Here is a 25,586-nt window from a genome sequence, read left to right as displayed (position 1 = left end):
GGTAGGCTAAGGCAGGAGTACTGCTCGAACCTGGGAGGCGAAGGTTGCAGTGAGCTGAAATCATGCCACTGTGCCACTGCACTCCAGCCTGGCAACAGAGCAAGACTCTGTCTCAAAAAGACAAAAAAACAAAAAAAAAAAAAAGAAAAAAGAAAAAAAATGGACAAAATACTGCTAGAAAGCATTTTCGAATTATAAAGTATGTTTTTTAAAAAATAACTTTTCTTGAAAAATATGTATACTGTATTTGATGCTACTATGCCTTTAACATTTCTTATCAGATTATTAGTATTCAAAATTGCATTGCAAAATACAAGTTCAGGGCATATGTAATTATTCAGAAGCAGAATTTATCACTAATTCATTCCCTCCAACATATTTCTCTAGCTCAGAGTTAAATCTGTGGGTCTTATATACTTCTTTCCAATTGCTTTCATAGAGAAGACCTGCTTTGAAGAATCAAATATATTATGACATTCAGGTTTTAAATGAACGTTATTATTTATAAGACATACCCTGAAATTCTATGTCTCCAATTCCGATATGGATCATATAAGCTTTCACAAAATGCCAATGCGTGGATCACAAATTCTTCAATACATGTCTGATCTGCCATTTCCTTCTCTTTTTTTTTGCTTTTTAACTGAGAACAAAGTTAAACATAAATTAAAGACATGCCTTACTTATCATCTAACAATAAGTCATTTGTATTCAAACAAGCCAAACTTTCCCTTTGAGACTAAGAGTCATTTAATCATATGGACTGGATACAGCCACTAAGATTTTAAATATGTCCTACGATAGCTTTAAAATAAATAGCCAAACACCTTTTGAAAAAGTAATATGTTTTCAGTAAGAAGGATATGTGATAAATAAATAATACATAAAAATCACAAATTGTATCATTTTAAAAGCCATTTATAAAACACTTAAATTTTTAAATTAAATAACAGTATATATAATAACTACTTGTCTATATTTAGGTAATATGTACAAGATTTCTGAAATATGCATTACCCAACAATAAGTTTAAGTCTCTTCTCAATTATTACCTCGTCTGAAAATATTTAACTATACTAACTATAATATAAAAAATAGTAGGCCAGACAATGGTGGCTCATGCCTGTAATCCCAGCACTTTGGGAGGCCGAGGCGGGCAGACCACCTGAGGTCAGGAGTTTGAGACCAGCCTGACCAACATGGAGAAACCCCGTCTCTACTAAAAATACAAAAGTTAGCCGGGCGTGGTGGCACATGCCTGTAATATCCAGCTACTTGGGAGGCTGAGGCAGGAGAATCACTTGAACCTGGGAGGCAGAGGTTGTGGTAAGCCAAGATCGGGCCATTGCACTCCAGCCTGGGCAACAAGAGCAAAACTCCATCTCAAAACAAACAAACAAACAAAAAGTAAAACCTAGTTGTTCTCAGTAAAGTGACAAAAAAGATTAGTTCACACCTACTTGCTGAATATAGAGTGTTGTCATGGTGATGACATAATTAATGTACGAGCAAGTCCCAATTTCTTCCACATTTGATAGATTTCTGTGAGAAAAAGAGACTTTAATTTTTTACATAAGAATGGTGAACAAAACATATGTTCATGAATTCAGCTTGAATTATGAGAACACATGCTGGCAAACAAAATGCAAATGACATTTATTAAAACATAAAAATCAATATGGTTATATAACTGCTTTCCCACCAACTGTGAACTATAACTCAAGCAGCATTTAACTACTATAAACAGATAATGTTTAAAAAGTATATGCTGATTAGCATCTATTTATTATTGAAAATTGGAAAATATCACAAAGTAGAAACAGAAGAGAAAAAATAAACACCAATATCTTGCAATCTAAAAATAAGCAACTATGTACATCTACATTATTTCCTTACAGATTTTTGTCCCTATGCAGATTCTTAGTTTTCTTTTTTGTACATACTGTTTTCATTATAACATGTGCACTATAATCATTTTCACTTTGCTTTTTGAATTACGGTTTCCTTTTAAGGATGTCATATTTCCTCAACTACATTAAAAGTCCTTGAAAAAGGGCTAACAGCATCTTTACTTACTCTAAGACGGCACAGTATCATATTTTGTTTAAAGCAGTGGGTTCATAAGTGCTTAGTGTTTAACTAAAATATGGTCCCTCATTTTTATTCCCTTTTTATAAGACTGAGGTAAAACAAGACAATATTTACTATACCTAAAATCTTTCCCTTGACATAATAAAAAAGCAACGTTCATTAATTTTGTTATGAGATATTGTGATCTTGTAAAACATATATCTTAAAATCCAGTAAATGCTAATTTTAGAAAAATTAACAGAATTAACAGACTTCTTCTGGTTTTTTTTTTAAGAGATGGGATCTTGCTCGGTTGCCCAGACTAGAGTGCAGTGGTGCAATCACAGTGCACTGCAGCATCAAACTCTTGGGCTCATGCAATCCTCCCACCCCAGCTTCCTGAGAAGCTGGGACTACAGGTATGTGCCACTAGGCCTGGCTACCTTTTTACATTTTTTGTTGAGATGAGGGTCTCACTTTGTTGCCCAGGCTGGTCTTGAACTCCTGGGCTCAAGCAATCCTCCTGCCTCAGCCTCCCAAAGGTCTGGGATTACAGGTGTCAGCCACCACACCCACCCAACCAAAAGACTTCTTAATGTAAGAAGTCAGACTGGCATGACAACTTGGAGAAAACAGGGTACAGGCAGAGGCAAAATTGGAAGCCTCTGCAAGAATTCTGCTTCCAATAATAGTGGACTAAGATCAGTCCTCTCCCTGAGAACAACTAGAAAACATGGACAAAACTTTTTTTAAAAATCTGTTTAAAGGCATGAGAAAATTAATAAGGAAGTGAAAAATTACAGATCCAAGATACAGAACAAGGAAACACAGAAAGAGATGAGACCTGCATTTAGATCCATTTTTGCACTCATGACTTCTACCAGTCCTGACAGAGGTAGATGAAACAATGAGAAGCTGCTGATTGCATCTGACAGTCTCACAATGTTGAAAAGGGACAAAAACTAGAATTCAGAGCCTGAAAATGACTGTCTCTAAGGCTGTGGTTTAAGATCCCAAAAGACAACACTCAAGAAGTAAAGGTGAAATGAAAATAGATTAGTAGTCACAGAGACTAAGTCCAAGTCAGCTCAATCATTCACTGTATTAGAGGGATCCTACTTTTCCAAAAACAAATGTATATTAACTGAGAAGAAAGACAATATTATCCTAAAAGTATCTCTATGATTTTTCAAAAACAATAACCAACACTTACTCAAAAATAACAACTCACATGAGAAGGCGACACAAGTTTGAAAATCAAAAGAAACAATACACAAAAGAAACAGACCCACAATTTGAGCAAAAGAAAAAGAAAAAGAAAAAGAGGTTGGGTGTAGTGGCTCATGCCCGTCTGTAATCCCAACACTTTGAGAGGCAGAGGCAGGAGGACTGCATGAATCCAGGAATTCGAGACTTAGCCTGGGCAACGTAGCAAGACAATAATTTGAAAAAAAAAATTTTTTTTTTTTTTTTGAGACTGAGTCTTGCTCTGTCACCCAGGCTGGAGTGCAGTGGCGTGATCTCGGCTCACTGCAACCTCCGCCTCCTGGGTTAAAGCGATTCTTCCACCTCAGCCTCCCAAGTAGCTGGGATTACAAGCATGTGGCACCATTCCCAGCTAATTTTTGTATTTTTAGTAGAGACGGGGTTTCACCATGTTGGCCAGGCTGGTCCGGAACTCCTGACCTCAAGTGATCCACTCGCCTCAGCCTCCCAAAGTGCTGGGATTACAGGCGTGAGCCACTGCACTCCGCCAGCAGGACAATAATTTTTTTAAAACAATTGGCCAGGCATGGTGGTGTGCCTCCCAGCTACTCAGGAGGCTGAGGCTGAGGTGGGAGGATCACTTGAGCCAGGGAGGTTGAGGCTGTAGTGAGCCATGATCATGTCAGTACACTCCAGCCTGGAGTGTACAGATGGAGCAAGACTCTGTCTCAATTTTTTTAAAAAAGCATAATCCATGAAAGAAAAAAGTTAAGTCAAACTTCATTAAAATTAAAAGCTTCTGTTTTACAAAATACTATTAAAAGAATAAAAAGGCAAGTCGCAGACTATCAAAAAATATTTGCAGACCAGATACCTGCCAGACACAGTGGCTCATGCCTGTAATCCCAATATTTTGGGAGGGTGAGGTGGGAGGATCGCTTGAGCCCAGGAGTTAGAGACCAGCCTGGGCAATATAGTGAGACCTCATCTCTACAAAAAATTAAAAAAAATCAGCCAAGCATGGTGGCATGTACCTGCGGTCCCACTTACTTGGGGTGGGGGGAACTGAAGAAGGAGGATAACTTGAGGCTGCAGTGAGCTGTGATCATGCCACCGCACCTCAGGCAACAGAACTCACTGCACCTGGGCAACAGAGTAAAACCCTGTCTCAAAACAACAACAACAACGACGACGACAAAAAAAACCCAGATACCTGATAAAGGAATTACATCTCAAAACAGTCAAAGATGTCTTAAAACTTAATAAGAAAACAATTCAATTTTTAAAAATGAGCAAAAGATCTAAATAGACACTTCACCAAAGAAGATACAAATGGTATATAGCCATATGAAAAGATGGTGAACATCTTTTGTCATTAGGGAATTGCAAATTAAAACAATAAGATACTACAAACACCTATTAAAATGGCTAAAATATAAAAGAATAGTATAATCCAGTATTGGAAACCATGAAGAGCAACAGGAACTCTCATTCATTGTTGGTGGGAATGCAAAATGGTATAGCCATTTTGGTAGACAATTTTGCACTGACAAAGCTAAACATAAGCTTACCGTATGATACAGCAATTATACTCTTCAGCATTTACCTAAATGAGTTGAAAACTTATGTGTATGCAAAATCTGCACACAGATGTTTTTAGCAGCTTTATTCATAACTTCCAAAAACTGGAAGTAACCAAGATGTCCTGCAACAGGGGAATGAATAAACAAACTGTGGTATGTCCATAAGTAGAGTATTATTCTGTGACAAAAGAAATGGGCTATCAAGCTACAAACACATGGAGGAGGACCAGGTGCGGTGGTTCATGCCTATAGTCCCAGCACCTTGGGAGGTCAAGGCGGAAGGATCACTTGAGCCCTGGAGTTTGAGACCAGCTTGAGCAACATGGCGAAACCCCTTCTCTACAAAAAATACAAATAAATAAATAAATAAATAAATAAATAAATAAATAACTGGGCATGGTGGCATGTACCTGTAGTCTCAGCTACTCAGAGGCTAAGGTGGAAAGATAAATTGAGCCCAGGAGGTCAAGGATGCAATGAGCCCTTATCAAGCAGCTGCACTCCAGCATGGGTGACAGAGTAAGACCTTGTCTAACAAACAAACAAACAAACAAGAAAAGTCATGGAGGACCCTTAAATGCATACTGCTAAGTGAAGGAAGCCAGTCTGAAAAGGCTACATTCTGTATGATTCTAATTATGACACCCTGGTGAAAGCAAAACTAAAGACACCATTAAAATATCAGTGGTTAAGCCTCATTCTAGATGAGAATGGGTACTGCTGATCATGGTGTCCAAAAAACTTTATGTGGCTAAATTGAGACACAGGCTATGCTTCCATCACAGTACACATATTGCAGTGGTGACAATGAAACCTGTAACATTTGGTATGCTTATGATTAAAAAAAAAAAAAATCAGTGGTTGACAGAGGTTGGGGCGGGCAGGGGTATGGGGTGTGTGTGTGTGGGTGTGTAAGGAATGAATAGGTGGAGCACAGGCCATTTTTAGTGTAGGAAAACTATTCTATATGATCCTATAATGATGATTATGTCAAATTTATATATGACAACATAAATTAGTCAAAACCCATGAAACTATACAACACAAATAGTGAACCCTAATGTGCACATGGACCTTAGTTAATAATGTATAAATACTGGTTCATCAGCTGTAATAAATGTATCATACTAATGTAAGATATTAGTAATAGAGGAAACTGAGGGGTATGGGAAAGGAGTATGTGGGAATTCTAGATTTATATAAAAACAGCTCTAAAACATAAAGTTTATTAAAGTTTTTAAATGGAGCTTTAAAAAAGTAAAGTGAGGTCTCTGGAAATAGAAACATGTTCTGTGACTGGTAGCTATTGAACATTAAATTTATCATAAGAAACTATCTACTACCCAAAAAATTTTTTTTCAACCAAAAAATTTGTTGAGCATTTCAGTGCTTCCCTCTATTACCAAAATCTAAACATAATGAATTGAAAACAAATATCTGTAGGATTTTTGATTTCAGCAAAATTGTAGTAGGTAGCTAGCAGGAAAATATAGCAAATTATCAGAGGTCAACTTATGTCTTACTACCTGAATAAACCCTTTCCCTTTAACCTTTTTTTTTTTTTTGAGAAGAGTCTCGCTCCGTCACCCAGGCTGAAGTGCAATGGCATGATCTCGGCACACTGAAACCTCCGCCTCCCAGGTTCAAGCAATTTTCCTGCCTCTCAGCCTCCTGAGTAGCTGGGATTTCAGGCACCCGCCACCATGCCTGGCTAATTTTTACATTTTTTTGGAGAGACAGGGTTTCACCATGTTGGCCAAGCTGGTCTCAAACTCCTGACCTCAAGCGATCCACCTCCTCGGCCTTCCAAAGTGCTGGGATTACAGGTGTGAGCAACTGTACCTGGCTGCATACTTCAACCCTTATAATTCTTGTATTATTTTTCCAAATTTTAAGGATGAGGAAAAACACACAAATAAAAACATGTCTAAGGCTCTGGGAGAGCATAAATTAGGGGTGAAATGTTTTAGCAATTATTGATCAATCATTCCATAATTCCTGCAAAGGCAATGAGAAATTAAGCCAAAGGTGACTAAGAGGTAAATTAAGTCCCTATTCATCCACTAATTAATTATAAAATATTTATAAAACAAATAATGTATGTTTTAGAAAGTGGCTTCCAAAAAGAAAATAGATTTAAAGCTATAGAATGTAGCTTCCGAAATGAAGATAGGTTTCAAGAGGAATATGAACCAATAAACCAATGGTTCTTGAATTCTTATATGCAGATGCCCCTAAACCAATGGTTCTTGAATTCTTATATGCAGTGCCCCTAAACTAATGGTTCTTGAATTCTTACATGTAGATGAATGTGGAATGCCTGAAAAATCCAGATTTTGAGCCCTTTTGAAACAGAATTTCCATAAGCAAGGCTCAAGCTCTATATTCTACTAAGTTTCCTTGTTGTTATTCATGCATACCAAAATGTAAGCACCACAGACCTAATTTATAAATGTGGGAAATATGATAACCTACAGGATAATTATACTTTATTTGATAAAATAATAAAATGAAATATCTGAATGATTTATTTTCACAGATAATAACACAGAGTAATAAAAATGCATATACATTTACAGGTGAGAACCATATGAAAAATACTGGTACAGTAATTTCTTGCTGAAGAAAAACTGTCATTGACTTTAATATAATTTTTTTAAATGTTGGCTAATGTTGCTATAACTAGGTATAGTAACTAAAAGGATTTCCAACATACTAACAAACCACAAGCCTATTCCAAAAAGTGCACTTACTCTTTAAAGCTCCATATCAACTACAAACATCACTAATAATAAACAAAATTAATTATTATTTTGGTAATGTAACAATTATATTAAAACAGATAATTAGCTTATTTTTTCTTTTTTTCTTTTTTATTTACTTAATTTATTAAAGTTCTGGGATATGTATGCAGAATGTGCAGGTTTGTTACATAGGTATACACATGCCATAGTGGTTTGCTGCATCCTTCAACCCATCATCTACATTAGGTATTTCTCCTAATGTTATCCCTCTCCTAGCACCCTACCCACCAATAGGCCCAGTGTGTGATGTTCCCCTCCTCATCTCCATGTGTTCTCATTGTTCAACTCCCACCTATGAGTGAAAACTAGCTTATTTTTTCTACTAGATACCTGCAAAGAATAATGAAGAACTTGACAAGCAAAATTGACAAGGCTTGCTGTTGTTCCTCTAACCCATCTGCCATTTTCTGAACACACTGTAGAAGCTGGATCCTCAGAACCTGCAGAATATTATCAGGAAGCAGAGATATTCCTGGAGGCATATCATCTACCCTACAACAGAAAGGGAAAAAAATAAGAAGCCTGTTGAAATACAAGAAGAAAATCTCTGGCATTTAAATGAACTTCATTTTCAGCCCAAATCCTAAAGAAGCTCTTTTATTTATTCCAGATACTCTGTGCCTTCTCGTCTGCAACACAGATGTAGCACATGATGATTAGTAACTAGATTAGTAACTAGAAGTAACTAGAAGATTAGTAACTAGAAGATTATTAGAGCAGAGTGGTTTTTCTTATTTCAGAAGAGGCTTACTAAAGAGAGAGACAGACTATTTGATATCTTCAATTGTACTATTTTTAATGAAAATACTTAGAATAAATTATGTTCCACTTAAAAATACTATGTATACTAAATACTGTGTATAGCAGTGTGCATACCATTTCTAAAAGAAACAATAACTGTAAAGTAAAAATGAAGTATCTACATAACTAGTTTAATATGTCAACTGTTGGCCAGGTGCAGTGGCTCACGCCTGTAATCCCAGCACTTTTGGAGGCCGAGGTGGGTGGATCACGAGGTTAGGAGCTCGAGACCAGCCTGGTCAACATGGTGAACCCCATCTCTACTAAAAATACAAAAAATTAGCTGGTTTCATTGTATCATTTTACCAAATGAAGTGTAATTATCCTATAGGTTATCACATTTCCCACATTTATAAATTCGTCCCAGCTACTCAGGAGGCTGAGGCAGAAGAATCGCTTGAACCCGGGAGGCAGAGGTTGCAGTGAGCCAAGATTGTGCCACTGTACTCCAGCCTGGGTGACAGAGTGAGACTCTGTCTCAAAAAAAAAAAATTTGTCAACTGCTTTACTAAACATCATTGTTTTAGTATAGACTCCCCAAGCCATGTGATCAGAAGAGGGAGAAAAGATAACCAGTAAAAGGAAAGAAGAGAGATAAAAGGGTATTAAAAAAAAAAAAAAAGGAAATGTAGAGCTCTGAGCATGGGCATCAACAGAAGACTTTAAAAAGTAATATATCAACATTTTGTGACAAATGGTTTCTATGTAAGACTATATGGTTCTTTAAGGGCAAATGCCAACATCAGACATGAGTGGTTCCTCTGGTGTTTCTTTCATAATAAAAACCCATACCTGGATTCAACGTCTAAAGACATGGGTACTAAATCTCACCTCTGTAACATAGAGCTGATCATTTAACCTTTGAAGTTCCCTATGGACGCTGAAGTACCCAACCTCATGAAATAATAAATCTGTGTTCCGAGAGGAGATGGTTTTAAGTGGGCTACGCAGATGAGCACAAGAGATGTATGGAAGGTCACTCCTGTGGTCACACAACCAAAACCAGAGAATACCTCCCTCCCTCCCCATCAAAAATCAGTGGCTTAAATAAAACCCTATCATCTCTGGGGATGGCAGAAAATCCAAGGCATAACAAAGCATGGATTTTTTTTTTTTTTTTTTTTGAGATGGAGTCTCGCTGTGTTGCCAGGCTGGAGTGCAGTGGCGCGATCTCAGCTCACTGCAACCTCCGCCTCCTAGATTCAAGGGATTCTCATGCCTCAGGCTCCCGAGTAGCTGGGATTACAGGCACGTGCCACCACACCCACCTAATTTTTGTATTTTTCGTAGAGACGGGGTTTCACCATGTTGGCCAGGATGGTCTCAATCTCCTGACCTCGTGATCCACCCACCTTGGCCCTCCAAAGTAAGCCACCGTGCCCAGCTCAAAGCATGGATATCTTACCAGCCTGAAAGATGTGGGCTTAGAATCAAGGCATGTTGAGTCACAGATAATGAAAAAAATGCAGTATTTCTTATAAACCTGTTTCTGGCCTGAGGTCTATACCTGGTTGAAACCTATGCCAAATCAGCTAAGAAATAGAAAATTGGCTGGGCAACATAGCAAGACTTCATCTCCACTGGAAAAAAAAAAATTAACCAGGTATAGTGGTATATGTCTGTGGTCCCAGCTACTTGGAGGCTAAGGCAGGAGGATCGCTTGAGCCCAAGAGTTCGAGGTTGCAGTGAGCTATGATCATGCCACTGCACTTCAGCCTGGTTGAGACAGAAAGACCATCTCTCAAAAAAAAAAAAAAAAAAAATAGAAAGAAATAGAAAATTGTGACTGCAACTTCTCTCACTATTATAGAGTGTTCAAAGAGATTTTTACACCATACTTAAAAATTGCTCCTAACCTGAATGGGTAGACAATTCCTGTGCTGCCACAGAAGGCATTACAGCAGAGGGACCTGCAGAGAGAGGTTAATATTTCCAGGGAAATGAGAGATAGGAAATATCCTGGCAAGTCCAAAAGACTTGTGGAAGACCTGAAGACATTGACCTAAGGAGAAGGACAGTAGAAACACAACTGAAGGGGCCAACATCTTAGAGTTCATCTAAAAAATGGAAGTTATCATACAAGTAGTATGTTCTATCAATATTTAATATTCTGTTAATATTTTAATAAAACAGATACAAAATAAAATTTTAAACATGAATGAAAAAATACCCATTCTCATGTAGGTTGCCAGTACATGACAGGTGGTTGCCAATACTTCTACAGGCAACTACATGTCTACTTGTATGTGTTTGTTTTTTTTTTTTTGAGATGGAGTTTCGCTCTTGTTGCCCAGGCTGGAGGTGCAATGGCGCAATCTCAGCTCACTGCAACCTTGGCCTCCCGCATTCAAGCGATTCTGCTGCCTCAGTCTTCTGAGTAGCTGGGATTACAGGCATGTGCCACCACGCCCGCTAATTTTGTATTTTTAGTAGAGACGGGTTTTCTCCATGTTGGTCAGCCTTGCCACCACGCCCACTAATTTTGTATTTGTAGTAGAGACGGGGTTTCTCCATGTTGGTCAGGCAGGTCTCGAAATCCCGACCTCAGATGATCTGCCCGCCTCGGCCTCCCAAAGTGCTGGCATTACAGGCAGAAGCCACTGCATCCGACCTATATGTCTACTTTTTAAGGAATGGTAGAGCTTTCAATGTGAACTGCTGTGGTCTGAATGCTGGTATTCCCCCAAATTTCATATGTTGTAAACTAACTCCCAATGCAATAGTATGAAGAGGTGAGGCATTTAGGAAGTGATTAAGCCAAGAAGGCTCTGCCCTCATGGATGGGATTACTGTCTTTATAAACAGAGTGAAGGGAGTTGCCCTGCCCCTTCCTCTGTGTGAGGACACAGTATTCATCCCTCTGCTGTGTAAGGACACAGCAAGAAACAGAAGACAGGCCCTCACCAGACACCAAATCTGCTGGTGTCTTAATCTTAGACTTCCCAGCTTCCAGAACGGTGAACAGTAAATATCTACTGTTGTTCTTGGCCGGGTGCGGTGGCTCATGCCTGTAGTCCCAGTACTTTGGGAGGCCGAGGCGGGTGGATCACCTGAGGTCAGGAGATGGAGACCATCTTGGCTAACACGGTGAAACCCCATGTCTACTAAAAATACAAAAAAAATTAGCCGAGCGTGGTGGCGGGTGCCTGTAGTCCTGGCTACTCGAGAGGCTGAGGCAGGAGAATGGCGTGAACCCGGGAGGCAGAGGTTGCAGTGAGCCAAGATCGGGCCACTGCACTCCCGCCTGGGCAACAGAGTGAGACTCTGTCTCAAATAAATAAATAAATAAATAAATATCTACTGTTGTTCCTTAAAAAAAAAAAGTTTCTAGTTCTGTAATCTGCAATTTTTTTTAAGAGATAGGGTCTTGCTATATTGTCCAGGCTGGTCTCTAATTCCTGGCCTTAAGCTAGCCTCCCACCTTGGCCTCCCAAAGGGCTGGGATTATAGGCTTGAGCCATTGTGCCCAACCTATAAAATTTGAGTATCAACTGCCCTATTTTACAGGGGTCTCAAACCAGAAGGTTAATATGCATTTTCAGCTGTGAAATATAGAAAGATCTATAAAAATGTAATATATTTTAAACATGCTATCACTAAAGCTTCAGAATCTTTTCATAAGCCACTGTATACTAATTTCCTATCCCTTTAAGAAAAATGCCCAAATCTGAATGGAGCTCCCTAAAGCATGCCTATGATTAAATGACAATTATACTTTATAGTTACCTCTTCTTCAGCTTATGCTTAATATGAAGTATTGCTAGTATTTTTACACTGAGTAAAAGGCTGTTTAATTAACTATATGCAGAAAAATCTGAAGCACATAAGTAGTCACATGTAGAATACAGTTAGCTTCTTTCTGAACCATCCTACAACATAAATTAAGAAAGTGTTTTATAAAATGAATACCTGATTGTAATTAAATTACACAGAAAAAAGCCACAAAGCATATTATAAGGAATGCCAAATTCTATAACCCAGTTACAAATATTTCATTTTAGTTGGGGCACCATTTCACTTGTAGCTTTGGATTCTTTCATTCTCTTATTTATAGGTAGTACCAGAAAATATCTCATTAACATACATATATACATATTTTTTTTCCTGCTAAAGGGCTAAAAAGAGGTAATCTAAAAATAATATACAAAGATTCAGATATAACCAATTTTCAAAATTAAGCAAAGCTATTCCTCCTCACTTTTCCAAAAACATATGTCAACAAGAAAGAAAACATTCAATTTTCCAGTATTTTATCCTACTTATTTAAAAGAGTATTTCCTTGTTCTTGGTCATCCCATTCTCTATATGCACATTGGTTTTAATAAATAATTAGTCAAAAAATCAGCTTCTAAAAAATGACTAAAGAGGACAAAAATTAGCTCCTCAGAAAGATTTTTTTTAATTATAAAATTGGGGCTTGGTTGAACATGCCTTATAGATAAAGTTGAAATTTTTGGCCATGTTCCTAACGTTATGAGCATTTAAGGACTTGGAAGCATTTTCCCACCTCTAGGACTTTACTGTTCAAAATTCTATGCTTCTTTTGTTGCAGTTTCCCAAATTCCACAAATCTGTTCCTCTGTTTGGCTCTTGAATGTCTACTGTAAACCAATGGTTGTCTGTGTCTACTACAGGAAGCAGCCTAGGTTGAAGTTCAAAGGCTTTATATTCTAGTAAAAGCCATCTCTGCTTTACATTATGAATTCTCTAAGGTCAGTTTACTTTATATGAGGATTAGCCATATGTCCCTTATCTTCAAGGTGATTTGACTAATTTCATAAAATATCTTGTACGTAGCATGTACTTAAAAATCTGAATGTTTTCTATTAGAAAAATTAAATTCATGTTTCAGTTTTTTGACAAAAACATGAAACACAGTATTAAGTAAACAAACTATATCACAAATACAGCAATGCTCTTGGCGTTCTTCATGTTACTTTAAACATAGTGGCAATATAAGTCTACATAATGTTTTTGGAAACAGTGTCCCAAGAAAAGAGACACTGGTAATGTATGGATGATAACAACTGCACCTTAGAAACTTTAGAAGTCTTCATTCTAATATTCCAAACATTTAAAGGCTCAAATCCTAACTCTATAAAATTCTTAGCTCCATGATTTAAAGCAAGCTATAAATTATTAAAACAGAAGTCCTTCTAAGCACAAATCATAAGAATATTATTTTATTGGTAAAAAAGTAGTAATAAATAATTTTATTTTGAGAAAAGGTCAAGAGTTAATACTCCCTAAACTTTATAAACCTAACATGAATAATAGTCTAATGAGGAAGACATCTGAAACTGGATTTATAAATAACGAAGTACTAGTCTTTTTTTAGTACACTCACATCCTTACTTGAGTTCAGTATCTTGGTCCAAAGCTCTGGCCACATCTCTGGATTATCACAATTATCTCTTAACTGGGCTCCTTGCCTTCAGTCTCAACCCTCTCCACCAGCCACTAAAGTGACTTTGAAACACAAACTTGATGATCAAGACACTCTACACAGAAAATTTTTCAGTAGCACTCTTATTTTCCATAACAACAACAAAAAAGTCAAAGTCCATTTGTATTGCATGCATGGTACTTCATGATCTGGCCCCTATTTGATTCTCTAGACTCAATTCTCCTTTACTACTTCTGATTGCCTACCTCTATCCCCAAAATGCAAACACTTTTCCTCCTTGAAGATTTAAGTCTCCAGATACTCTTTCTCATCATCAACCACCATCCATTCCTCCCTTCTCCCCTCAACACACTTTTTTTTTTTTTTTTTGAGACAGGGTTTTACTCTGTCACCCAGGCTGGAGTGCAGTGGCACGATCACAGCACACTACAGCCTCAACTCTCTGGGCCAAATTGATCCTCCCACCTCCGCCTCCCAAGTAACTGGGACTACAGGTGCACACCACCATTTTTAATTATTTGTAGAAACGGGGTTTTGCCATGTTGCCCAGGCTGGTCTCAAACTCCTAGGCTCAAGTAATCTGCCTGCCTCAACCTCCCAAAGTGCTGGGACTACAGATGTGAGCCACTGCACCCGGCCAACACTTATCTTAAACTGGCACTCCTTTTGTGGCTAGATGCCTCTCTCCATTTTTCTTGCATTTTACCCCAGCCAATCTCTCTTACTGAACAACTATTAGGCCTTCAAGATAGCTTAAGATATAGAAAAAACTTTATCTAAAAAGTGGGCCTGGGAAATGGTATGGAACTGGGGAGTGGTGGTGGGTGGAAAAATGAAAGATTTGTACTTTCAGTAGTACTTTTCCATAAATTTGAATTTTTTCATTTTATGATTTTTAAATCTAGTTTCTAAAAATCTAAACACTTCACCTCCTCTAAGATGTTTTCTAAGGTCCTACTGTAAGGCCAGGAATGAAAATAAGTTTCAACTCACATGCCTATTGTATAATAAAGAATATATATCTGGTCTTTGTCCCAGTTTTCTGGCACATAGCTTCAAAAACCCTTGAGATTTTCTGAGTGATATTCAGAATGTCTTTTGTTATTCATAATAAGCCCTATGGATTACACCTGAGTCTATGCAAATGAAGTGACTCAAGGTAAGCCCTTAGTTTCAATAGAAGGCTGCTCCTATCAGAAAGACCAAGCATTGGCCAAGGGGCAGTGGCTCACACCTATAATCCCAGCACTTTGGGAGTCCGAGGCAGGTGGATCATGAGGTCAAGAGATCGAGATCATACTGGCCAACATGGTGAAACCCTGTCTCTACCAAAAATACAAAAATTAGCCAAGCATGGTGGCGTGCGCCTGTAGTCCCAGCTACTTGGGAGGCTGAGGCAGGAGAATTGCTTGAACCTAGGAGGTGGAGGTTATAGTGAGCCAAGATCGTGCCACTGCACAGCCTGTCGACAGAGCAATACTCCATTTCAAAAAAAAGAAAAAAAAAAAAAAAGAACAAGCATTAATTAGAGGGCTGGAACTTTCAGCCTCACCACCACTTATACTTCTAGGGAGAGGGAAATTGAGCTCAACCACATAATCAATTATGTAGTAAGACTCCAATAAAACTCTGGACACCCAAAACTTGAAGAGCTTCCTGATTAGTGAACACGCTGATGTTCAGGAAGGGCAACACACCTGACTCCATGGGGAGAGGGCGTGGAAGCTCTGCCTCCAGACCCTTCCACACCTTGTCCTATGTGTATTCATTACAATAAAGCCGTAATCACAAGTATAGTGCTTTCAGTGAGTTTTTCAAGTCAGTGTAGTGAGTTACTGAACTTGAGGTGGGGAGGAGGTGTGAGAACCCAGAATTTATAGCCAGTTGGTCTGAAGTATGGGTGGTCCCGAAGACTTGTAGTGGCTAATGTCTGAAGTGAAGGCAGTCTTACAGAGGACTTTGCCCTTTACTTGTGGGATCTGGTAGTTAGTGTCAGAAATGAAGTGTGTTGCAGAACACCAGCTGGTAGTGTCCTAGAGAAGCAGAGTTTTCTAGAAGCCAGGTCTGGCATCATCAAGAAAGACTATTGTCATCAATTAGCTATGTCTCTATGAGAATAGGGTTATTCATGAGTATCAAGAGGGTAACATAATTGCCATCCTTGTAATATGTCATCAATGAAATCTTTGTGCCAAAAATGAAAAACTCATCCAGGGGTTACAAATTAGCGTTTCTACATACCTGGTAGGCAGCTTTTCAAAGTCAACGTCTAAAAATTGTTCATAGCTAGAAACAAAAGTGTCCAACCACAGCTTCAGGTAATCTGGATCTTTCTGAAATAACAAAACCATTATAATATTAAGTATGCCTATCAGGAAAAAAAAAATGCTTCTACACCTATTAAGCAGATACCTAAAGAATCAATACTATGAAATCTCCAAGTGATATTTAGGAGTACATATGTGCTGTTTTAAAATGTACATTAAGTATATGGAACTCTCAAATGGCTTCTCATGTCACTCAAAGAGCTAAAATCTTAACAATGTTCTATAAAAGTTTAAACAATTTGCCCTCCCATATCCCTGTAACCTTGTCCACTGTTACCCTGTACTATACTGGCCTTCTGGCTGTTTCCTGGGACATGCCAGACATGCTCCCACCCTAAGGACTTTGCACTGGCTGTTTTCTCTACCCAGAACACTCTTCTCCCAGGTATCTGAATGGCTACTCCCTCATCTTTTTTTTCTGGACAACTGAACATTTATTTATGTGCCTTTCTTCTTATGTGTATTTCAAGTCTTTTCAAAACAAGGCCCCAGGACTCTCCAGATTAAATTATGTCCCTGGGCTTGGTCCATTGCTGTGGGAGTCTTAGGGAACCTTGTACAAATGCTTGAGTTACTCATTTACCAACAATAAACCCTAGGATAGAAAATGCAACAAAGCAGGACTCCTTCCATGGCATGTGCTGATTTCTGACGAGGCAGCAGCCAATACAGAAAACACTGGACTTTTTCCTTAGAACTGGACTGTGATGAGAGGTGCTTGCCATGAACATAAGCCACTATATTTTAACCCTTCCTTTCCGATTTTTGAAGATAAGGCAGGGAATAATCTTCTCTGAAGATACCTGATGATAATTCCCCCCAAAACAAAAACACATGCTTCCACTGCACTGTGCTTTCAAATATTCTGGGTCTTGTTCAGCTGGCAGATGAGCTGACTGATGCATTCACCCCGATAGCCATGTGAGCCCATCTCCTTGAGGAAGCCCACTATATTTTTGGTATATAGTGGAGGTTGCAGTGAGCCAAGATCACACTACTGCACTCCAGCCTGAGCATGATGGGTCACCAAAAGGTGGAAAGGGAGCAAGAACTATGAGATCTCCTGGAAATACTTCCCTGGGAAGGCAATTTCATGAATGAGGTCTTCCAAGCAAATGTCACCAAACTTCTCCAGGTGCTCCTCAATCACTGTGTTGTCTGTCAGAGGGATGGTCTTATTCTTGACCTTGGCTTGTTCATGTTTCCAAGTGAGTTCCCGCACAGACTTCAGATTTGGAAATCCCCAGGTCACATAAGTTTCCACTATAAGCAGCATTTTTAGGTTCTGGGGGTTGACTTTTACAAAGACACCACTAAACATTTTCTTCAGGCGAAGTCTTACAACGGTTCTCTCCACCGGTAAACTCATGCCATTAATCCTTTTGATGTGTACAACAAAGGCCATGGCATGTTTATCTGGCAATTCCAAGGCATGAGGTCTCATTTCTAGTCGTCTGAGATGCACCTTGTCACATTTCTGCCTCCAGGAATCATGTAGGAATGATTCCAGTCGCTTAAACCTGAGCCTTTTTCCTTTCCTCTGCTCCTTCTTTGCCAAAAGTGCCTGCTTTGCCTGAGTGGCTTTGAGGGCTTGATAAGCCTTCCTCTTTTTCAGGAGATTTTCTGGAACCAAATGGATTTTTCTTTGCTCTTGCTCTGCCATCTTTCTAGTGTTGAAGGACTGATCATGCACAACCCCACCCCAAGTCATTTTTTAAATGACATATTCTCAATGAGGCCTATTTTTACTCCTTCTTAAAACCAGAAACCTCACCACCCCTTTACCTTACCTTATCATGTTCCCTCCACCATGGTCCTTTATCACCTTTCATCTATAATTTACTTATCAGTTTATTTTTTGTCACTTCCCCAGAATACAGGTTTCACAAGTGCAGAGATTTTCATTTGTTTGTTTACTAATGAACACCAGTACCTTAAATAGTGGCTGGTACTGAGACAGTGCTCAATAAATATTTGTTCCATGAATTAAGAGTAACATGCATAAATGAAATCAAATTGGAAATGGATCATTAACGTAAACATAAAAACTGAAACCCAAATTTTCTAGAAGAAAATACACCAGGCACAGTGGCTCATGCCAGTAATTCCAGCACTTTGGGAGCCCGAGGCAGGCGGATCACCTGAGGTCAGGGGTTTGAGACGAGCCTGGCCAACATGGCGAAACCCCATCTCTACTAAAAATACAAAAATTAGACAGGTGTGGTGGTACAAGCCTGTAGTCGGGGGGCTGAGGCATGAGAATTGCTTGAACCCAGGAGGCGGAGGTTGCAGTGAGCTGAGATCATGCTACTGCACTCCAGCCTGAGCAACAAAGCAAGACTCTATCTCGGAAAGGACAGGACAAGACAGGACAGGACAGGACAGGAAAGGGAAGGGAAAGGAAGGGAAGGAGAAGGGGAGGGGAGGGGGAAGGAGGGGGAGGGGGAGGGGAGGGGGGGAGGGGAGGGCCAGGGGGAGGGGAAGCGAAAGGGAAGGGAAGGGAAGGGAAGGGAAGGGAAGGGAAGGGAAGGGAAGGGAAGGGAAGGGAAGGGAAAGGAAAGGAAAGGAAAGGAAAGGAAAGAAAAGGAAAGGAAAGAAAAAAGACAGGACAAGACAAGACAAGACAGACAAGAAAGACAACACTAGACTGAATCACTTTTCTACCTGGGGATAAACAGAGGTTTCTTAGCTAGGACAAAAAAATCATAAACTGAAAAAGAAAAAAAAGATAACTGGTATTAATCAAAATTTAAAACTTCTACTCATCAAAAGACACTATTAAGAAAATGGAGGCTGGGTGCAGTGGCTCACGACTGTAACCCCTGCACTTTGGGAAGCTGATGTGAGAGAATCGCTTGAGCCCAGGAATTCGAGACCAGCCTAAGCAACATAGTGAGATCCCATCTCTTCAAAAAATAGAAAAAAATTAGCTTGGTGTGGTTGCGCATGCCAGCAGTCTCAGTTACTCAGGAGGTTGAGATTGGAGGAATTCTTGAGCGCAGGAAGTCAAGACTGGGGTGAGCTGTGATCGTGCCACTGAGTGACACATGCCATCAGCAAACAAAAAGATGAAAATCTCTGCACTTGTGAAACCTATATTCTGGTGCCAGAGTGAGACTCTAAAGAAAAAAGAAAATGGAAAGACAAACCACACTGGCTGAAAATATTCTCAGGGACTTGTATGAAAAACATAAAGATCTCCTACAAATCAATAACAAAAAGACAATTCGATTTAAAAATGGGCAAAAAGCTTGGACACTTCACAAAAGGGAATATACAAACGGCCAAACAGCATCCTAATCTGTGATCAATATCATTAGTTATCCAGAGAAATGCAAATTAAAGCCAAATAAGGTACTATTATATACCCACTAGAATGGCTAAAAGTAGAAAAACTATATCATGTTAGTGAAGACGTGCAGTAACTGTAACTCTCATACATTACTGGTGGCAGTATGAAATAGGATCACCACTTAGAAAAGTTTAAGTTAAATATACACATATCAAACAGCCCAGCCATTCCTCTCCCAGATAAATGAATACAAATATCCACAAAAACACTTGTACAAAAATGTTTATGGAAACTTTGTTTATAATAGCCCAAAGCTGAAAACAAAAATTCTATCAAGTTAACGGATAAACAAATCGTTGTACATTCGTACAATGGAATACTATTCCAGGAATAAAAATGAACTATTGATACTTACAATGACAAAAAAATTTTTCAAAAATCTATTGAGCAAAAGATGTTAGGCATCAAAGCACATACTACTTATTTATTTATTCATGTATTTATTTGTGTATTTATTTATTTATGAGACAGGTTCTCACTCTGTTACCCAGGCCGGAGTGCAGTGGCACAATCACGGTTCACTATGGCCTCAAACTCCTGAGCCCAAGGAATCCTCCTGCCTCAGCATTCCAAGTAGCTGGGATTACAGCTATCATGCTGTATTTTTTGTATTTTTGTATTTTTTGTAGAGACAGGGTCTTGTTACGGTCTCAAACTCCTGGCCTCAAGTGATCCTCCCACCTTGGCCTCCCAAAGTGCTGGGATTATAGGTTGAGCCACCTCGACCAGCCTGATATCACTTATATGAAGTTCTAGAGCAGTCTATGGTAACAGAAATTAGACAACATGGCTGCCTCTGGGAGGACCGACTGCAAAGGGGCACAGAGGGAACTTTCCCAGGTGATGGAAATTTTCCATTTCTTGACTAAAGTAGTGTTTATACAAATGTTTGCATGTATCAAAATTCATCACATTTGACACTTAAAATCTGTGCATTTTAATGCTTTGTGACATTTCAATAAAGCTGAATTGAAAAAAAACTATGATCCCTTGGAAATTTTTAAGTACATTAACTGTATCTCAAAAAATGATGCTCAATTCTTTTCCTTTGCCTCCTCAATACTTCCTTATGTCAGTCAGATTTCAATATGTGATTTAGGAGTCTCAGTTATGTAGTCATTAAATATCATTGCTTAAGTACTGCTCTTGGTTAAAGGAAACTCAAGGAACTTATTTCCCCGAAATAAAAGCATTACACTACAAATCAAAATCTAAAAGAATGTTCCCAGAATATGCAGGGACTACTGACCTTTTGTCTATTTGCTTTTTCTATTAATATACGGTTCTAAAATCAGCTTGTAAACTACAGCTCTCTACATCATTACTGAGAAATCAGAAGGAAATATTTTAGAAAAAGAGCTACCTTTTGTGAGAATTTTCTCAAGTTTCACTACTTGCTTTTTACATGTCCAACTAGAATGTGATTCATTTATTCATTCATTTATCCATTCAAGATAGAACTCCAGAAACACAAGAAGCTGAAGTTTTCCTTACCATTGTTCCTCTCCGATACAGCAGAGAATTACCTCTTGGCAAAAGACACAAAACAGTCACACAACACCATAAAGAATTAATGCATTTCTCTTCTAATGCATATTTTATTTAGGAACTCTATAGTATCTGGTTCAAATTCTAAAGGTCTGGCTACCAAGTGTTTGGCAAGCACAGAGTTCACCTACAAAATTGAGCAACTATAAGGGAAAAAAAAGTACTTAAATTTGGAGGTGTTTCATTTATTAAGAAGTAAAGCACTCACAATTTTTTGAATATCTGCCATACAGTAAGTAGTACAGCAGGCATTTAAAAAATATATCATCCCATTTACTCCTTACAACTATCCAATGAAGAAGATTTAATTTCCCTCATTTTACAGGTTAGAAAAGGGAAGTTCTAAAGATGTATAATTTGTCCAGTCACACAGCTAGTAATGGATAATGCTGGAATTAAAATGTAAGAACACACAAATCCAATATGTGCTGTTTCCACTACACTACAATGGCTTTAACTGTGTGCATAAATAAAATGGATCTTTAGTGGGCAAAAAGAGGAAAAGAGGAGCTTCGTCAGGATCAGTAAACTCAAGGTCATAAAGTATTTAACACACAAAAAAAGCCACATTTTATACATTCTATAAAAACGCTTAGATCATTTTACTGCCAAAGGCCATAAAAAGAAAGATCCTCACACATAGAAACAATATTAATTAAATCTCAAGCTGAGTCACTTTCATGGTTAAGATGAGTTTGCTTTATTGAAACACCAGCGTCTGGCCTATCTTGCCATTTGTACAGTATTTATTTACTAACACAACACACAAATGTATTAAGTAGTGCAGGAGTGCTGGAGCCAAATTACTTGGACTCTAATCCCTGCTCTGTTACTTTCTTAAACAAGTCAGCCTATGTTTGTACATGACTTTCTTCCTCTATAAAAATGAACATAATGATGTCTCACAGGACTGTTGTGAAAATTAAATAATTTAACCCATATCAAGGGCTTAGAATGCCTAGCACATAGTATATGCTCAATAAGTATCAATAAAAATTATTTTCATAATCTACTATGTGCCCAAATCAGGAAACTCCCACAAAACAGTAATGTTCTATGCTACACATATCTAAATGTTTCATGATCTCCTTTGCCACCTGATTTTAAATTTTACTCTTTTCATCTCAAATCTCTTTGCATTTACTATCTGTGTGACTTTCAACAGGTTACTTCACCTCTCTGAGCTGTTCTTTGTCTGTAAAATGAAGATAATACTTCCTACCTCATGGGCTGTTGAGAGCACTAAATGAGATAATGCACAAAAGGCACTCAACAGTGCCTTCCATTTAGCAAATGCTCAAAACATGTTGGTTACCACAATTATTATAATATAGACTTTGCCATCAAGTTGGTCATGATCCAATATAAGAAAATAAGCAAAATAATTACAAAATCAAGTTCATTGATTCTGTACTTAAATATTCATCCAATCGTCCCATCTGCCATTAATTAAGACAAATAATCTTTCTTTTTGGACTGTCAGGTAGCTCCCTACAATTTCTCCCACCTATACACACCTACTAATGAGATGTGTTAAATTTAAATCCAGTCATCTCCTCTGTCCTGCCCAAATACTTTCAATGGCTCCCTATTAGTAAAGGATGAAGTCTGAACACTTAACTTAGAGCTGTGCTATACAATATGGGGGCCACTAGTCACATGTGATTACTTAAATTATGTTAAAGCACAGCAGACGTTTAGCTTCTCATAACACCCACTAACCTTTTGGGAGGCTTTAGAGAGGATAATGGAATTAAATCATCCATGCAATTTCCCCTAGTTCTTCAGAGACAGGGTTACAGCTAAGAATAGGGGGAATGCTTTATTTGCTCTATGCAATGATATTTGGATTACAGTACTCACTCAAGTTTTAAAACTATCAAATTCTAGATGCATATAAATATTTCAATCATATGATGGGCAGTTCCTAACTTAAATATGAATTGAATTTTAAAAGTTCATTTAAGTCAGTTATATTTATATTTTCTAATATCCTACCAAAAGAAGATAAATTCCCCCCACAGAAACATTGTAAAAGTGACTAATCTTGCAGGTCAGCCCTCAAGTTTTTCTGATACAACCTAGCAACTATTTAAAATGTTTAATAAGTACAGGCCAGCCAGGCACAGTGTCTCAGGCCTGTAATCCCAACACTTTGGGAGGCCGAAGCAGGCAGATCACCTGAGATCAGGAGTTCAAGACCAGCCTGACCAACATGGAGAAACCCTATCTCTACTAAAAATACAAAATTAGGAGTGGTGGTGCATGCCTGTAATCCCAGCTACTCGGGAGGCTGAGGCAGGAGAGTTGCTTGAACATGGGAGGTGGAGGTTTCAGTGAGCCGAGATTGTGCCATTGCACTCCAGCCTGGGCAACAAGAGTGAAACTCCATCTCAAAAAAAAAAAAAAAAAATGGCCGGGTGTGGTGACTCACACAGGTGATCCCAGCATTTTGGGAGGCCAAGGTGGGCGGATCGCAAGGTCAGGATATCGAGACTATCCTGGCCAACATGGTGAAACCCTGTCTCTACTAAAAATACAAAAAATTAGCTGGATATGGTGGCACACGCCTGTAGTCCCAGCTACTCAGGAGGCTGAGGCAGGAGGATCACTTGAACCCGGGAAGCAGAGGTTGCAGTGAGCCAAGATCGCTCTACTGCACTCCAGCCTGGAGACAAAGCAAGACTCCGTCTCAAAAAAAAAAAAAAAAAGTACAGGCCAACCATGTACGAACTAGGGACCATGCTAGACCATGAATATAAAGACAAATAAAATAGAGTCTTGTCCTCAAAGTGCTCATTGTTCAAGAGAAAAGAGGTATAAACAAGTAAATGCAAAACAGCCTGTGAAGCAACAGTTGTGAAAAATACTGAAATAATACAAAGAAGGGAGTTATTGATTCTGTCAAGGGTGGGGGGGTAAATGTGTAGTCCCAAATGCTCAAAAAAGTTTTCAAAGAATCATAAACAGATACTCTCAGGGAGGGTCGGGGGAAGAGAGGAATCCAGACAGAGAGAAAACAGCAAGATATGTTCAAAGATGTATAACATTTGGTATCATTCCAGTGTGGAAATGATAGGAAACAGTGGATAATCATAATAGGATTATAAGACTGGAGAAGTCAGCATTTCCTAACCAAGTATTCATCCCAACACTTTTCACTTGGATGATAATAGATACAATTGGAAAAGTTTTTTAAAAAAGGGTGGTGGGGGTTGTGACACTAGAAACTACTGATCATCATTTCCTAGATCTGGTATTTCATTATGAGTAATTTCTGCAAAAACCTGACAATTTCCTCATAATAACACCATTACTACTAGAAAGATTTGCAGAAGAAAGAGCTATTTATTATTCTCAATCCCACTTCCAGATTCTCAATTAAAAGTATATCCAGATACAGACTGTGTTTATGCTACTAATCCCAAGATGTTATGTAATGGATAGTGGCCTGTTCAATATAAATCTATTCCTTAGTACATGCCAACTTTCTGATATATGTATATTTCCCACAACAACTGAAAATACATACAATAAATTTGGGAACTTTCACATTTAAAAAGGTACAACTGGCTGGGCGCGGTGGCTCACGCCTGTAATTCCAGCACTTTGGGAGGCCGAGGTGGGCAGATCACGAGGTCAGGAGATCGAGACCATCCTGGCTAACACTGTGAAACCTCGTTTCTACTAAAAATACAAAAAATTAGCCATGCGTGGTGGCGGGCACCTGTAGTCCCAGCTACTCGGGAGGCTGAGGCAGGAGAATGGTGTGAACCTGGGAGGCAGAGCTTGCAGTGAGCCGAGATCGCGCCACTGCACTCCAGCCTGGGCGACAGAGCGAGACTCCGTCTCAAAAAATAAAATTAAATTAAAAAAATAATAATAAAATAAAAAGGTACAACTTCCAGATGGGCATGGTGGATCATGCCTGTAATCCCAGCACTTTGGGAGGCCAAGGTAGGTGGATCACCCGAGGTCAGGAGTTCGAGACCAGCCTGGCCAACATAATGAAAACCTGTCTCTACCAAAAATACAAAAACTAGCCAGGCGTGGTGGTGTGTGCCTGTAGTCCCAGCTACTCGGGAGGCTGAGGCAGGAGAATCACTTGAGCCCAGGAGGTGGAGGTTGCAGTGAGCCAAGATGGCACCATTGCACTCCAGCCTTGGCAACAGTGAGACTCTGTCTAAAAAAAAAAAAAAAAAAAAAAAAAGCTACAATTTCCTTCACTCTTTCTTTGGGTTTTTGTTCTTATGCACGATCTCAGCTCACTGCAAGCTCCGCCTCCCGGGTTCACGCCATTCTCCTGCCTCAGCCTCCCAAGTAGCTGGGACTACAGGTGCCCGACACCACGCCCGGCTAATCTTTTTTTGCATTTTTAGTAGAGACGGGGTTTCACCGTGTTAGCCAGGATTGTCTTGATCTCCTGACCCCATGATCTGCCCGCCTCAGCCTCCCAAAGTGCTGGGATTACAGGTGTGAGCCACCGTG

General features: G+C 38.9%; 1 protein-coding gene, 1 non-coding gene and 1 pseudogene across 10 annotated transcripts in view; 1 reads left to right on the top strand and 2 right to left on the bottom strand.

Annotated features, from left to right (window-relative positions):
• NBEAL1 (neurobeachin like 1) overlaps positions 1-25,586 on the bottom strand; it is a 210,587-nt gene that overhangs the window by 167,226 nt on the left and 17,775 nt on the right. For 8 of the 9 annotated variants that reach the window (XM_011511658.4, XM_047445554.1, NM_001378026.1 and 5 more), the window contains exons 3-6: positions 16,113-16,204; positions 7,994-8,155; positions 1,461-1,542; positions 516-643 (exon numbers count right to left, since the gene is read on the bottom strand). In XM_011511658.4, coding sequence (XP_011509960.1) covers positions 516-643; positions 1,461-1,542; positions 7,994-8,155; positions 16,113-16,204 — 464 coding nt within the window. Of the gene's footprint in view, positions 1-515; positions 644-1,460; positions 1,543-7,993; positions 8,156-16,112; positions 16,205-25,586 lie in introns of those variants that run through there. The other variant, XM_011511660.3, reaches the window with a different exon arrangement.
• Positions 5,551-5,684, top strand: LOC124900525 (small nucleolar RNA SNORA1). The gene has a single exon (XR_007088717.1). It is a non-coding gene; the product is annotated as a small nucleolar RNA SNORA1 (small nucleolar RNA).
• Positions 17,250-17,864, bottom strand: RPL7P14 (ribosomal protein L7 pseudogene 14; annotated as a pseudogene).

The sequence above is a fragment of the Homo sapiens genome, chromosome 2 (genome assembly GCF_000001405.40).
Source record: "Homo sapiens chromosome 2, GRCh38.p14 Primary Assembly".
NCBI classification, from domain to species: domain Eukaryota; kingdom Metazoa; phylum Chordata; class Mammalia; order Primates; family Hominidae; genus Homo; species Homo sapiens.
This window is presented reverse-complemented; position numbering and strand designations above follow the sequence as displayed.